This window comes from Homo sapiens, chromosome 17 (genome assembly GCF_000001405.40).
Source record: "Homo sapiens chromosome 17, GRCh38.p14 Primary Assembly".
NCBI classification, from domain to species: Eukaryota; Metazoa; Chordata; class Mammalia; order Primates; family Hominidae; genus Homo; species Homo sapiens.
The window spans coordinates 11195234-11209185 of NC_000017.11; the positions used below are offsets into that span (position 1 = coordinate 11195234).

Sequence of the window (13952 nt, forward strand, 5' to 3'; positions counted from 1 at the left end):
ATCTGGTCACTAATTTTACGTTCTCTGTTTTCACTATCTATCATTTCTCTAATTGGAATTTTCCCCATTTCCTGTATATTCTTGGAGAGCTTTTCCAATTTGTTATCATCTCTGTCACCCATATGATATTGTCTGCAGGTTCAGTTCTATTTGTCTCTACAATTGCTGTTAAAATATCAGCTTCATTGCCATATTCTTCCATCTCTTTTTTCATCTTACCCGGTTGTCTTTTCATTTAGCCTACTCTTGCCTTAAAGATTTTTTATTATGTGTCAGGGAAATAATGATTTCTACTCTACTGACAATGCTAAATCATGTCCTAATGATTCATTCTTGATTCTGAAATATATCCTTTTCAGATATAAGTTCTTATTTGTCTCTGGATTGATATTACCTTTCTATTCTTCAGCAGTATTTTTCACAAATTGGTAGTGAAATTCCCCTTGAGACAGTATCTGTTCACTGGGGTGATGAAAAATCCCCTGCTTAGATCTATGTTGTTCACTTATCAGTGTTAGGTTAACTGATCAGCATTATGTTAATGTATGTAAATGTATCAGCATAAATTAACATGTATAGCTCCTAATCCAACTTTCATTCCAATGAAATGAATCAGTGTGGAGCAGAATCCAATGGTTTGATGCTGAAAGAAAGCAATAAGGAGGAGGGCTCTGTACTCTAAGAGATGAGAAGGGCACCGAAAGTGACATGGGAGGCATTTTAAGCACATTTTATTTTCTTTGCACATTTGCCCTGGGCTAGCATTGGCCCCCGCCTTGTACAGTACAGCATCTCTGTGCTTGCCATGAATATGTAACAGGGAGGAATTCTGTGGGCTATGAATAAGGGTGATGAGGAAAAATAGGCTGTTGTGGTCAAATATACTTAGGAAACAGGATGAAATACAGTTGAAGAGGTTTGTTTATTGTGTCAATATTCAGACACTCAAATATGTTGAGTGGATTGTGTATGTCTAGGAAGTGGCTGGCTTGATTAGGGAACATTTCTCAGACTTCATTGACAGTGATAAACTGTTGATGGAACATCGTATTGATCAGACATTTCCTGGAAGATACTTTGAAGAACATTGTTTTACTTTTGTACAACTCCCATTCTCTCTCACTCGAGCCTTTCTCTGCCCATACAGATAAGGCATGGGGGTCACAGGGCAGCTAGTTACAACACGCCAACTTCACGGGGCTCCCTAGAAAAACCTAGAGTCTCTCATGGAGGGGTAAGGAGAAGCAGCTGTACATGGCAAATATGATTTATTTGTGGCATGAGTGTTTCCTGCCACCCATGGCAAAGAATGAGGATTAAAGAAGGAACACATTCAATTACAAGTCAATTTCAAGAGGCTCAGACATAAGTGAGGCCCTGAGTCCTTCTTCATTTTTATATGCACCTAGCAGTACAACCAGGAAACAAAAGTGTATTGTTCATGAAAAAGTTGTATCATACAGATATTTTCTCGATGTGATGTGGCTCATAGTTTCCCATAACATCCAATTAATATGAGACTAGAGGGAATAAAGAGCTCATTGACTCCAACACCCTTAATTTACAATTTGGGGAAACTGAGGACCCCAGATGCAAAGCAGCTTGTTATAGGGGACACGGAATAGCAGTGCTGAGTCTGGAACTGAGTGCTACCCCCACTAAACTGAGATGCCCAGGATAGAACTTTTAAAAATACGAGTGTGGCGTTAAAGACCAAATAAGAGCAAAGCTAAATGACAGTAAAACCATCTTTGCAAAAATTATGACAGTGAGATAAATCTAATGTAGAAAAATTATGACAGTGAAAGAAATCTGATGTAACCAACTCCATCTTGCTTCTAACCTACAAGCTACCCCCTCCTTCATTCCCAGGTACAGGCTAAGCTAACTATGGCAGGAATTTAGTTTATAGTTTAACTTTGAAACAAAGATGATAATAGCCCCTTCCCAAAACAAACCTCCTACTTGCTTGGGGATCAGACCATTTTTATAAAACTAACACATTAGCCACGAGATTAAAAATTATGCCTCAAGAGTCATGCATCCAGAGGTCACAAGATTCCTAATCTCCCCAATTGCTCCTATAGCTAGCATCACTATTGTAAAACCTAAGATTGGTATTCAAAGTAGTTTTCAGACTCTGCATTCTGATGGACTAGGTGGCACCATCCAGACTGGTAAACTGGCTTATCTTTCTTGTGACCCCACCCAGGACTGACTCAGTGCCAGAGGACATGTTTTGACACCCTGTGGTTTTGCATCCCTGACCCAACCAATCAGCATTCCCCATTCCCTAGCTCCCTGCCTGCCAAGCTATCCTTTAAAAACCCTAGCTTCTGAAGTTTTTGGGAGGCCGATTTGAGTAATAATTAACTCCTGTCCTTTCACTTAGCTGGCTCTGCATTTATTAAGCTCTTTCTCTGTTGCAAAAATCTGCTTTTCTCTGTGCATCAGCTTTTCTGAGCAGCAGGAAAGATGAGCCCATCAGGTGATTACAAGAGAGCTTTATTCTAAACATTTTATTCATCATTCTTAAACAATTGCAAAATTTAAAATTTCTTAGTCTTTCCATTTTGGCAGATTTTTAAAAAGGATTGTTATTTCTTTCATTCATTCATTCATTCATTCATTCATTCATTCATATTTACTGAGCATCTGCCATATACCAGGCACTGTATTAGAGGCTTGGAGTATCATGGTGAAAACCTTTGGCATCAATTTTGCTTATATTTTGATGGGGGAAGACAGATATTATCAAAATGATGTTTATACACATTACTGGGTTGATTATAACAAATTGTACAAGTACCAGACACATGTAGACACATAGAAAGCTGAAGAGTAATACCAACTAGAATAAACAAAATTAATACTGAACCATGAATACAAAGAGTCAAGGAGCGTAAAAAATGAGATTGTTTTTGTGACCTTGAAATCCCATTTGCCACAGAAGTGGAGGCAGAAATGAAAATACCACTATTGCAATCCTCATGTGTTTGGAAAGGGCTCTGGGGTGGGACCCAGCCCACAAAGATGGTTCTAGACTGATTTCCTATTTGGTAAACCCAAGTGAATTTCCCACCTCCTTTAGCAACACAGCTTTCTAGTGAAGAAACAAAAATAGGCATGTATATGCTAAACCTGAGTTGAATCACAGTGCTGAGATTATGGGCCTAGCTGCTAGGGATCTCGAGGAGCCTTGTCCAACATTCTAAATGATCCTTGCAGGCAACATGCCTTAGTAGGTTGCAAAGGACAATTCAGAGCAAGAGAACAGAAGCAGTTGCTGGGCAAGGTGAGAGGGTGCAGGCCATGTCACTGAGGGAAGACCTTACTTTCTCTTCCATTTCTGAGTGCTTTCAGAGCAGATAGAGTCCACTTTCAAGATTTCACCAGGCTGTAGAATAAAGAACAAACTGGGGCTTCAGAGGGAGGCCACACAGCCTCCTCCCTACTGGCTCCTCCACTGGGCACTTTGTGACATTGGCCAAGTCCTTCAACCACGTAGAGACTCACTGTCAGAGGTGTGTGAACCAGAGCAACTCCATCTTGAATAGGAGTTGGGTAAAATGAGGCTGAGACCTACTGGGCTGCATTCCCAGAGGGTTAAGGCATTCTAAGTCACAGGATGAGATAGGAGGTCAGCACCACATACAGGTCATAAAGACCTTGCTGATAAAACAGGTTGCAGTAAAGAAGCCGGCTAAAACCCACCAAAACCAAGATGGTGACAAGAGTGACCTCTGGCCGTCCTCACTCCTCACTGCTACACTTCCACCAGCACGATGACAGTTTACAAATGCCATGGTAAGGTCAGGAAGTTACCCTATATGGTCTAAAAAGGGGAGGCATGAATAGTCCACCTCTTGTTTAGCATACCATCAAAAAAAAAAAAACATAAAAATGAGCAACCAGCAGCCCTTGGGGCTGCTCTGTCTATGGAGTAGTCCCATTCTTTTATTCTTTCACTTTCCTAATAAACTTGCTTTCACTTTACTCTATGGACTCATCCTGAATTCTTTCTTGCATGAGATCCAAGAACCCTCTTTTGATGTCTGGATCGGGACCCCTTTCCTGTACCATCACTGCCCTTGCTTTGAAAAGCCCTCAGTTGAAAATTAAATGGGATTGCAAGTTTTAAGCCTGGCACACAGTAGGAGTTCAAAAAATACCACCTCCTCCTTCCCATCTTCTGCCTGCATTCTAAGCTAGGTTGCTTCGTAATTTTGTCACTAACTTTTGCTGGACTCTAATTTATCTGGGCGTCAGTTTCATCATCTATAACACGAAGAAATAGGGCGAGTGGTGATCCCCGGGGTTCCTTTCAGTTCAAGCATTTTAGGATTCTATCATCACAATAGACGCCCCACACAGGGAAGAAACAGCAGAAGCTGAGATTTCTGTGACTTTGGTCTGTAGGGGTGAGTTCCAGGAGGCTCCCAGGCATCAACCATGACCTATGCAAAGACAAGAAAAATAAATGATTAGGAAAGGGCCAACATTGCAGTGTGCATGCCTGCAAACAATTCACACACAGTTGGAGGCACCCAGCTGGAAACCAGTGTTTCATTTGCAGCTTCATTTGCAGCAGAAAAGTTGATATTTGCAATAATGTCAGTAACTTAGAGTTGGGATTCAGTGGCTCCTGGCGTGAGCCAACACCAAACAACCAATTTTCACTTTGCAAGTCAGAATGACCCCTCCGCTTCTCCATGCTAGAGGGAAAGGGAGGTATGGGTCTCTGTTGGGACAAGTTTGGGCACGGAGTCCACAAGGGCTTCAGATGGCAGTTTCTGGACTGCAGTTCTTGCCACTTGCAAGCTCTTCACACCACAAACACTTAGCTTTTCTCGTTTGGGGAGCTCTAGGGAGCCTATTCATCTTTCTTGGAGTCAGAAAGAGGATGGAGAAATCCAGGCAATGAAAAAAAAATGTGGAAGATGCAGCTGTTGGAAGCAACAAATAGAATATCAGATGGCCCCAGGAGTCCTGGGTATTTGTCTCAGATCTGTCACAAGCCGACTGTGTGACTATAACTTGTCACTTCCTCTTTCCAGATGCAGTTTATGCAGGTGTAAAAGGGAGAGGTCGGATGAGGTGGTCTTGAGTTGGCTTCCAACTCTTTCTATGACTCAAGTATTCTAAATGAGAAAGGGTGAAGAAAAGGAGGAAATGGAAGAAGAGACGGTGGATAGCAGGTGGGTGAGACTTTGTTAGAAAAGGAGGGGGAGGAAAGATGAGAAAGGCTGCAACAATAAAAAAGGAAAACAACACAGATTTGCAGAAAGTATTCCTCGCAGAGCCATAAGTAATTTCGAAAGTAGTCATGATTACAATCATTATCATAAACAACCGAAGTCCTAATTAACTTCATAAAGGGCAGCATCCTGCGATGATTCAGGAATGCTCTCTCTTGATGCTCCAATCTCTGGAACCCAGGGGGATCCCTCCCTTGTGAGCTCATACCTCCTTTCTTTTGCTATGACCTTTACTTTGGGGAGCCCACGGAAAGAAAGAGGAAGCACCTGCCCTGCGAGTCTGGCCAGCTGGTGTCCAGGAGCCCAGGGCAGCTCAATTGAGCACCAGGTCGCGGTTGCCCTCCAGAGACAGGGTCCCCAGCATCATCACCCACACCACTCTGAGCATCCCTGGCTGTGGGCACCACTAGTATCAGCATAATTGTCACTCTGTATCATCCAAGGAGATTCCCAGGTACTTCCTTAAGAATGGCGAGGCCTTGGGCTTAAAAATCTTCTGATTCATGGAAGAGCCACCTGTGATGTTCCTGGCTACCTCGTTTTACTATCATTCTCCTAACAGCCATTAGCTCAGCTTCTGCCTTGCCTGACCCCTATGGGGTGTACTGATCTCTGGTCTTATCTTTTTTTTTTTCTTTTGAGACGGAGTCTTGCTCTGTCCCTCATGCTGGAGTGCAATGGCCTCGGCTCACTGCAACCTCCGCCTCCAGGTTCAAGCAATTCTCCTGCCTCAGCCTCATGAGTAGCTGGGATTACAGGTGCGCGCCACAACACTTGACTAATTTTTTTGTATTTTTAGTAGAAATGGGGTTTCACCGTGTTTGCCACGCTGGTCTTGAACTCTTGACCTCAAATGACCCACCTGCCTTGGCCTTCCAAAATGAACAAGCAATTTCTTTAGTTGCTTGTGCACAGCCCAGAATGCTCTGCCCCTAGCAAACTGCAAGAAAACCGCTCTAAGCCTTCACTTAAGGACTTCTTTGCTATATTTAGGTTATGTTTACAGGATTGAGAATGAGAGGTAGAAGGAATAAGTTCAAGGACAATTTCTGGAAATAAATTAGGTTCAAATCTTTTCAGGGAAGTGACAGGCTTTAATTTTTGTTTAAGTGATGAAAGCTATTGTAATTTCTCACAAAGGCCTGCAAGTGATTTGAGATTGGTTTGTAAAAATGTTGAAAGAAAACCCGAATACAGAATAAGATAATCCTAGGAACTGTAATGATAAGATCATATCAGTTTGTGGTGTCTTGACATTATCTGAAAGGAAGAGGGTGAATACGGATCAGAGAACAATGAGCAAGAAAAACCAGTGTTACCCAAAAGCTAAGGGGAGAGGCGGGATGGCTATCTCTTAAAAATGCCAACTGGAGGAATTTTTTTTTTTTTTTTTTTTTTTTTTGAGACAGAGTCTTGCTCTGTCGCCCAGGCTGGAGTGCAGTGGCGTGATCTCGGCTCACCGCAAGCTCCGCCTCCCGGGTTCATGCCATTCTCCTGCCTCAGCCTCCCGAGTGGCTGGGACTACAGGCACCTGCCACCACGCCCAGCTAATTTTTTGTATTTTTACCAGAGACGGAGTTTCATCGTGTTAGCCAGGATGGTCTCGATCTCCTGTCCTTGTGATCCGCCCGCCTCGGCCTCCCAAAGTGCTGGGATTACAGGCATGAGCCACCGCACCCGGCCAACTGGAGGCATTTTTAAAGCATACCTAGTGATTACGGATAGCACAAGTATAGCCTGAGAAAGTCTGACTTTGGGAAAGGAGTTACAGTGAATTCATAATTTAGGACTAGGTGAATACTAGCAGTGTCATTAGGCAGAAATGGAGAACTATTGCATTCATAGAAGCGTAAAATTCGGCTAGGATTTTTTATTCTGTAATATTTCTCCAATACTATTTAAAAATTTTATATGTAAATATAGTCATTTTATCTCTATATATTGTTATATTAATAGCTTGTTTTTATAGATTTAGGAGCCCTATCATTTTGGCTTATTATATCTCAGTGTTTTCTCATCATGGGGAGAGTGCAGTAGAAAACTGGCTTGTGCACTTAAATTGCAGAATGGCAGCTGCCAGGAGACATTAAACTGGCCCCAGAGTGGAGTTCTCAGACAATGGGGTTGTGCATCTCAGTATCAGAAATGCCTAAAGTGCTTGTTATAAAGATTGTATTCTCAGGACCCCCAAAAGGTCCTCTAAGTTTGAACTGAGACCCAGGAATCAGAATCTTTTGAAGAGAGACCCAAAACTCAGGTTTTGAATAAGAACCCATGGAAACTCTATTTTCTAAAGATAGCTGCAACAAAATATCTCTCATCCCAGATCCTCCCTGCAGTACGATCTTGCCACTATACCATCAAGAAGTAGGTCTGTGTCTGTCACTCCTTGAATGCCGATGGGGTTATGGCTGCTTCGATCAACACAGTATGGTAGAAGTAACATATGACTTCCAAAGCTGGGTCATGAAAAGTAATGTTACTTCCACCTTGTTCTCTGGAGCCCACCTACTTGGAGTCCCAAACCAGCACCTAAGTCCAACTAAGCAGCAGCTGCTCTGCAGTGTGGCAGCTGGGCCACATGGAGAGACTTATCCAGGTGTTCTGGTGGACACGCATTACTCTTCAAGTCATCCCAGCCCAGACATTGAGGGAAGGAGCCTTCAGGTGATTCCACACTAGAGGATAAGCCTCTCAAACTCAACCCTAGCTGATGAGGACAAACAATAACACTTTAGTTGGAATTCACGCTAGAGTTCGTCCTAGTGTCAAGAATGATAATCACTTATGTTTTCATTCATTCAATAAAATAGGTACTGATTGCCCACTATTGCCAGGTTGTTCTAAAATCTGTGGATATAGCAAAAATCATGGAAAATTCCTCAGAGTCCTGGAGCACACATTCTAAGTGTAGCATGACAGTGTGTGGCTGGGTAGGAGACAGAGAAGGGCAGACAAAACAACTAAATAAACACATTAACATGATAAGGTAAGGTTAACGACTATGAAGACAATAAAACAAGGTGATGTGGTGGGGAGGCACTACTTTAGATTGTGTGGTCACAAAAGTTGTTTGAGCTGAGACCTGTATTACTTTAGTAGGGCTGTAGAAACAAAGTGCCACCCACTGGCCTGCTTAAACAACACAAATGTGTCATCTCCCAGTTCTGCAGGCCAGAAATCCAAGATCAAGGCTGGGCATGGTGGCTTATGCCTATAATCCCAGTACTTTGGGAGGCCAAGGCGGGTGGATCACCTGAGGTAAGGAGTTCGAGACAAGCCTTGCTAAACCATGTTTTCCTTGCTAAATCATGAAATCTTAGAGGTCAGCAACACTGTCTAGCACAGTGTGTGTTCAATAAATATTCACCAGACTGAATTTAGTGGAATACTAGTAAAAGCTTCAGTGTTGGACTTCAGATTGTTACTGGCAGTGCGTCTGGTTGGGGTGCTTGGTCCTTGGTCTTTGTCTTCTTGGAAGAAATAATTTGGCCAAGAGACAAAGTAGATTTAAAGCAGAAATGAGAGCTTCTTGAAGCCTGGCCAGCATGGTGAAACCCCGTCTCTACTAAAAATACAAAAATTAGCCAGGTGTGGTGGCTCGCACCTGTAATCCCTCCCAGCTACTTGGGAGGCTGAGGCAGGAGAATCACTTGAACCTAAGAGGCGGAGGTTGCAGTGAACTGAGATCGCACCACTGCACTCTAGCCTGGGGGACAAAAGGGAGACTCCATCTCAAAAAAAAAAAATCCAAGATCACAGTGTTGGCAGGGTTGATTTCTTCTGAGGCTATGAGGGAGAATATGTCCCATGCCTCTTACTCAGCTTCTGTGGTTTCTAGCAAACTCTGGCATTCTTTGGCTTGAAGAGGCATCATGCTGACCCCTGCCTTCATTTTCACATGAGTTTTTCCTGTATGGGTATCTATTTCCCAATTTCTCCTTTTTATATAGGATTAGGGTCCACTCTAATGATCTCATTTTAGCTCGGCTATCTCTGTAAAGGCTATGTTTTTCAAATAAAATAACATTCTGAGGTACTGGGGATTAGGGTTCAACCTAAGAATTTTGGTGGGGACCCAGTTCAACCTTTAACAAGACCTGAAGAATGAGGATCCATGATACAATAGTCCAGGGCCTATAGGAAAGCAGAAGGAGAAATGAGTTATGCTGTCAAGAACCAGCCTAGAAATCAAAGACTGGAATGTGGAGAGGAATGAGGAGCTTCAGCCTAGCTCCATCATCACTGTGGATAGCCAGCAGCAATGCTCTGGCCAAAAGTACAAGCTGCTCAGCTCTCACATGCAATCAGCACAAATACCTGTCAATTCTACCCATGACATCTCACTCATAACCTGGCTGTCCTCTGTCCCCGCCAGCTTGGCTTTGGTCAAGCATTTGTTTCTCTCTCCTATTATTTCATTGTTATATTTGTTTCTTTCTCCTATTGCTGTTTAGTCAATCTTTCTGCCTTCAGGCTCACTATCCTTCCATCCACTTTCTGAAATACCAGCAGCATCATTTTATAAAATAGAAATTGTATCCAATGTCACCCATTCTAAAAATCCTCTATTCCCTCCATCAGTTCAGGAGGAAGAACAAAATCTTTCTCATGGCACAGAAGGTTATATAAACCCAGCTAAGCTCCAGATGATGTTTCCAGCCTCTCTGTAACTCACGTGCACCCACCATTCCCCAGACTCGCTGTGCACTTTCAGGACTCTAGTTTTGTTCATGCTTCCCTACTCTTCTCATTATTTTTTCTTTGAAGAGCTAGTTCAAATTGGCACTCACCTCTAAAAAAAAAAAAAAAAAAAAAAAAGCCCAGCCACTTTTCTCTACTCTTTCCTGAACGCTTCCCCCACCTCCTATGCCTAAGCTAGGCTTAATTCCTCCTTCATCTCTGTTGGCATAACACTTTGTTCCGTGTTTGTCACGTTGGCTTATATTTATTTGTTTGCATATTGGTCATTTGTTTTCCTTGCTCAACCATGAATTCTTGGAGGTCAGAAACAGTGTCTAGCATAGCAGGTGTTCAATAAATATTCACCAGACCGAATTTAGTGGAATACTAGTAAAGGCTTCAGTGTTGGACTTCAGATTGTTACTGGCAGTGCGTCCGGTTGGGGTCCTTGGTCCTTTGCCCTTGTCTTTTTGGAAGAAATTATTTGACCAAGAGACAAAAGTAGATTTAAGGCAGAAACGAGAGCTTATTGAAGCACAGAAAAGTACACTTGAAGGGACCAAGCAGGCTACTCAAAAGACTGAGTGCGCCCCCTAATCTTTGGTTCAGCGCTCTTACAGATTTACTATTTCCTGTTTTCTTTCCCAGTCTCTTTCCCTCATCCTTCGCCTTGGGCAGGCTGTTGGCTAATCACCACATGTGCAGTGACTTGTCAGTATCTGGGAGGGGCTGCACGTGCCCTTTGGTGGTTGGAGCTATGTGCATGCTCTCTTATGGCAATTTTCCCTTATCAGTTCTAGCGCCCCCAGATGAAGATCATATGCTGCCCAGACTCTGCCATTTTGCCCCTTACCAGCATGCCTAGACACCTCTACTCAATTTTTAAGTTCTTATAGGTACATTGTTCCCCACAAACTCAAGCTGTTTCCTGGTTGTTAGGAAATTTTCACCTCTCTGTTTCCAGCAGCCCGACAGTCACCTAACATTCTTTGGGGTCCTACCCTGACCTGCTCATATCTGCCTATCTACCTACTCTAATACGATCAGCATTAACATATTCATGAACCTCTTGGTCATTAACATCGCTGGACCCAGAATCAGTGTTAACATGAACATGCTTGGCAATGTGTGTGTCACCATTAATATGGCTTAGCAGATTTGGCGTCTAGACTTGCATTCAAGCCCCAACGTTGTAACAAACCTTAGGAATTGTCTTGGCTCCATCTTTTTTGCTCTGTGCCTCGGTTCATTTATCTGCAGAATGAGACTTTTGCTTGCTAAAGACCTACAATTAGGACCATCTTTCATGCTGAAGTCAGAGTGTATATAATAATTGGATCACCGTCAGCATCAGTATCACTCTTACTGTTGCTTAGTCTTGGGGACTCAAGTGTGGGGGTACTTTACTGTTGCTCTTTTTTGTGGGTTTGTTTTGTTTTGGCTTCTGGGTTTTGTCTGTTTGTTTTTCTGGCAATAGCTTCTTTGACATTGATGTTACCTTTAGCATTTTTAGACCCGTGTTAGAAGAATGAAATGATTAAGGGTGTAGATTTGCATATTTTTTTGTTTTTCTTTTTTTCTTTCTTTTTTTTTCTTTTAACTTAGAAGCTCTTCGGTCATGGTAAATTAAAGCAGGTTTTCTGAAAATTTACCACACAGGAAGCTGTGCTGAACTTCTCTCCTGGCCTCCTAGACCCTCTCTCATTAATTTCCTCTAATTCTCATTAGCATGTTTCTACTGCAGACTCGGAAGCAGAGAGAAATTCTTGTGCAGCTAATTTAACACCTGCAGATTTTGAGAGTTGGTAGAGAAACCATATCAATAAAATAATCACTGGCTTTCTCGGAGATTTTAAATTTGAATCCTTTAAAGGTTAGACTTTTGTTATGATTTCTATTTATGTTTTTACATCAAGTTATATGTTAATAAATACTCTTGTCTTTTCAAATGTAAAGAGAGGCAGAAAACTGGAATAACCATTTTTGATATATCAATGGCCATAGTGAAGAAAGTATTCTGACATTTTGGATGTGGATATGGCTTTTCTCGTTGACAGCACCACAGCCTGCCTTAGAAAGCCCCCACAAATTCAGCTTGGGGGCTACAAGGTGGGATTAGGAAGTGAGGCACAGCCTGGGAGCTGAGTTAGGTCCTTTGGTTTGGAGATTTGTCAGGCAAAGATGGAAGCTGGAAAGCTCCCTCCTCTACTGAAGTCCATGAGCATGCAGTGTAGCAAAGAAGTGACGGGTGGGAAAATCTTCAGAGGTTTTTTTTTTCTTTTGAGACGGAGTCTCGCTCTGTCTCCCAGGCTGGAGTATAGTGGCGCAATCTCGGCTCACTGCAAGCTCCGCCTCCTGGGTTCACGCCTTTCTCCTGCCTCAGCCTCCCTAGTAGCTGGGACTACAGGCGCCCACCACTAGGCCCAGATAATTTTTTGTATTTTTAGTAGAGACGGGGTTTTACCATGTTAGCCAGGATGGTCGTGATCTCCTGACCTCGTGATCCACCTGCTTCAGCCTCCCAAAGTGCTGGGATTACAGGCGTGAGCCACCGCCCCCGGCCCAGAGTTTTCAAGTATAGTGTTTGTGGCGAGTTTTACTCCTCTTTTTCAGAGGGACAGAGACCTTATTCCCCAACCCTTCAAACAAACAAACAAACAAAACAAGTGAGAGGCTGAGAAGGGGATTCCAAGAGCATCACTAGGAGAGAGTTCCTGCCTACTAGAGGGGGAGACTAGCCTGGGGCTGGATGCTCAGGTGCAGGCCACTCCGAACTGCCCTCAGAGCAAGGCACCAAGTGATGCTTCTTGGGAGGATCTGACCATGTCCTTGGGAATGATAAGGGCACAGTGACAGATAGCTTTTCCTTTGGTGAGGTCTGAGGGGACAAAACTTGCAGGAGAAGCCCTCATCAGGTTGGGAGAGAGTGCCCAACAGAGGATGAAAGACCTGCATTCCGGGTCTCCAAGGCTTTCTGAAAGTTCGAGGAGGAACCTAATCATCCCCAGTCATCCCTGTATTCATCTGTTCTAATGCTACTAATAAAGACATACCTGAGACTGGGTAATTTATAAAGGAAATAGGTTTAGTTGACTCACAGTTCCACATGGCTGGGGAGGCCTCACAATCATAGCGGAAGGTGAATGAGGAGCAAAGTCACATCTTACATGATGGCAGGCAAGAGAGTGTGTGCAGGGGAACTCCCATTTATAAAACCAGCAGATCTTGTGAGACTCATTCACAATCATGAGAACAGCTTGGAAAAGACCCGCCCCCATGATTCAATTACCTCCCACCAGATCCCTCCCAGGACATGTGGGAATTATGGAAGCTACAACTCAAGATGAGATTTGAGTGAGGACACAGCCAAACCCTATCGATCCTGTAGAGGATCATCTAAGTTAGAAGAGTAGGCAGATGCTGAGGATATGCTCGGGACTGAGCCAGGCATGCACAGCCATACCCTTCAGGAAGGGTTGACGGTATGGACCACCGACAGGTCCAAAGGGAAACAAACAGGATGTTAGTGACAAAAGAGGCTGTAGTGAACTTGCACATTATCCCAGGAAGGCCTTGCTCACATCTCCACAGGTGCCACCACATTTCTGGAGACCAAATAGAAACAGATAAAATTGTGTCTGGAGTTGGTTCCTTCTGGTGGGTTCGTGGTCTCACTGACTTCAAGAATGGGGCAGCGGACCTTTGGGGTGAGCATTACAGCTCTTAAAGGTGGCACAGACCCAAAGAGTGTGTGGCAGCAAGATTTATTGTGAAGAACGAAAGAACAAAGCTTCCACACCATGCAAGAGGACCCAAACGTGTTACCGCTGCTGGCTGGGGTGGCCAGCTTTTATTCCCTTATTTGTCCCTGCCCATGTCCTGCTGATTGGTCCATTTTACAGAGTGCTGATTGGTCCATTTTACAGTGTGCTGATTGGTCCATTTTACAAACCTCTAGCTAGCTACAGAGCCCCGATTGATGTGTTTTTACAGAACACTGATTGGTGAATT

At 43.3% G+C, this 13952-nt stretch overlaps 1 annotated feature.

Moving 5' to 3' along the window:
• Window positions 4304–5503: an enhancer, noted in NCBI's record as "CDK7 strongly-dependent group 2 enhancer chr17:11102854-11104053 (GRCh37/hg19 assembly coordinates)". NCBI's record gives its function as "activates an origin of replication core promoter dependent on BRD2, BRD4, P300/CBP, MED14 and CDK7 cofactors, with strong dependence on CDK7, by STARR-seq in HCT116 cells {active_cell/tissue: HCT116}" and the evidence as "EXISTENCE:reporter gene assay evidence [ECO:0000049][PMID:35650434]".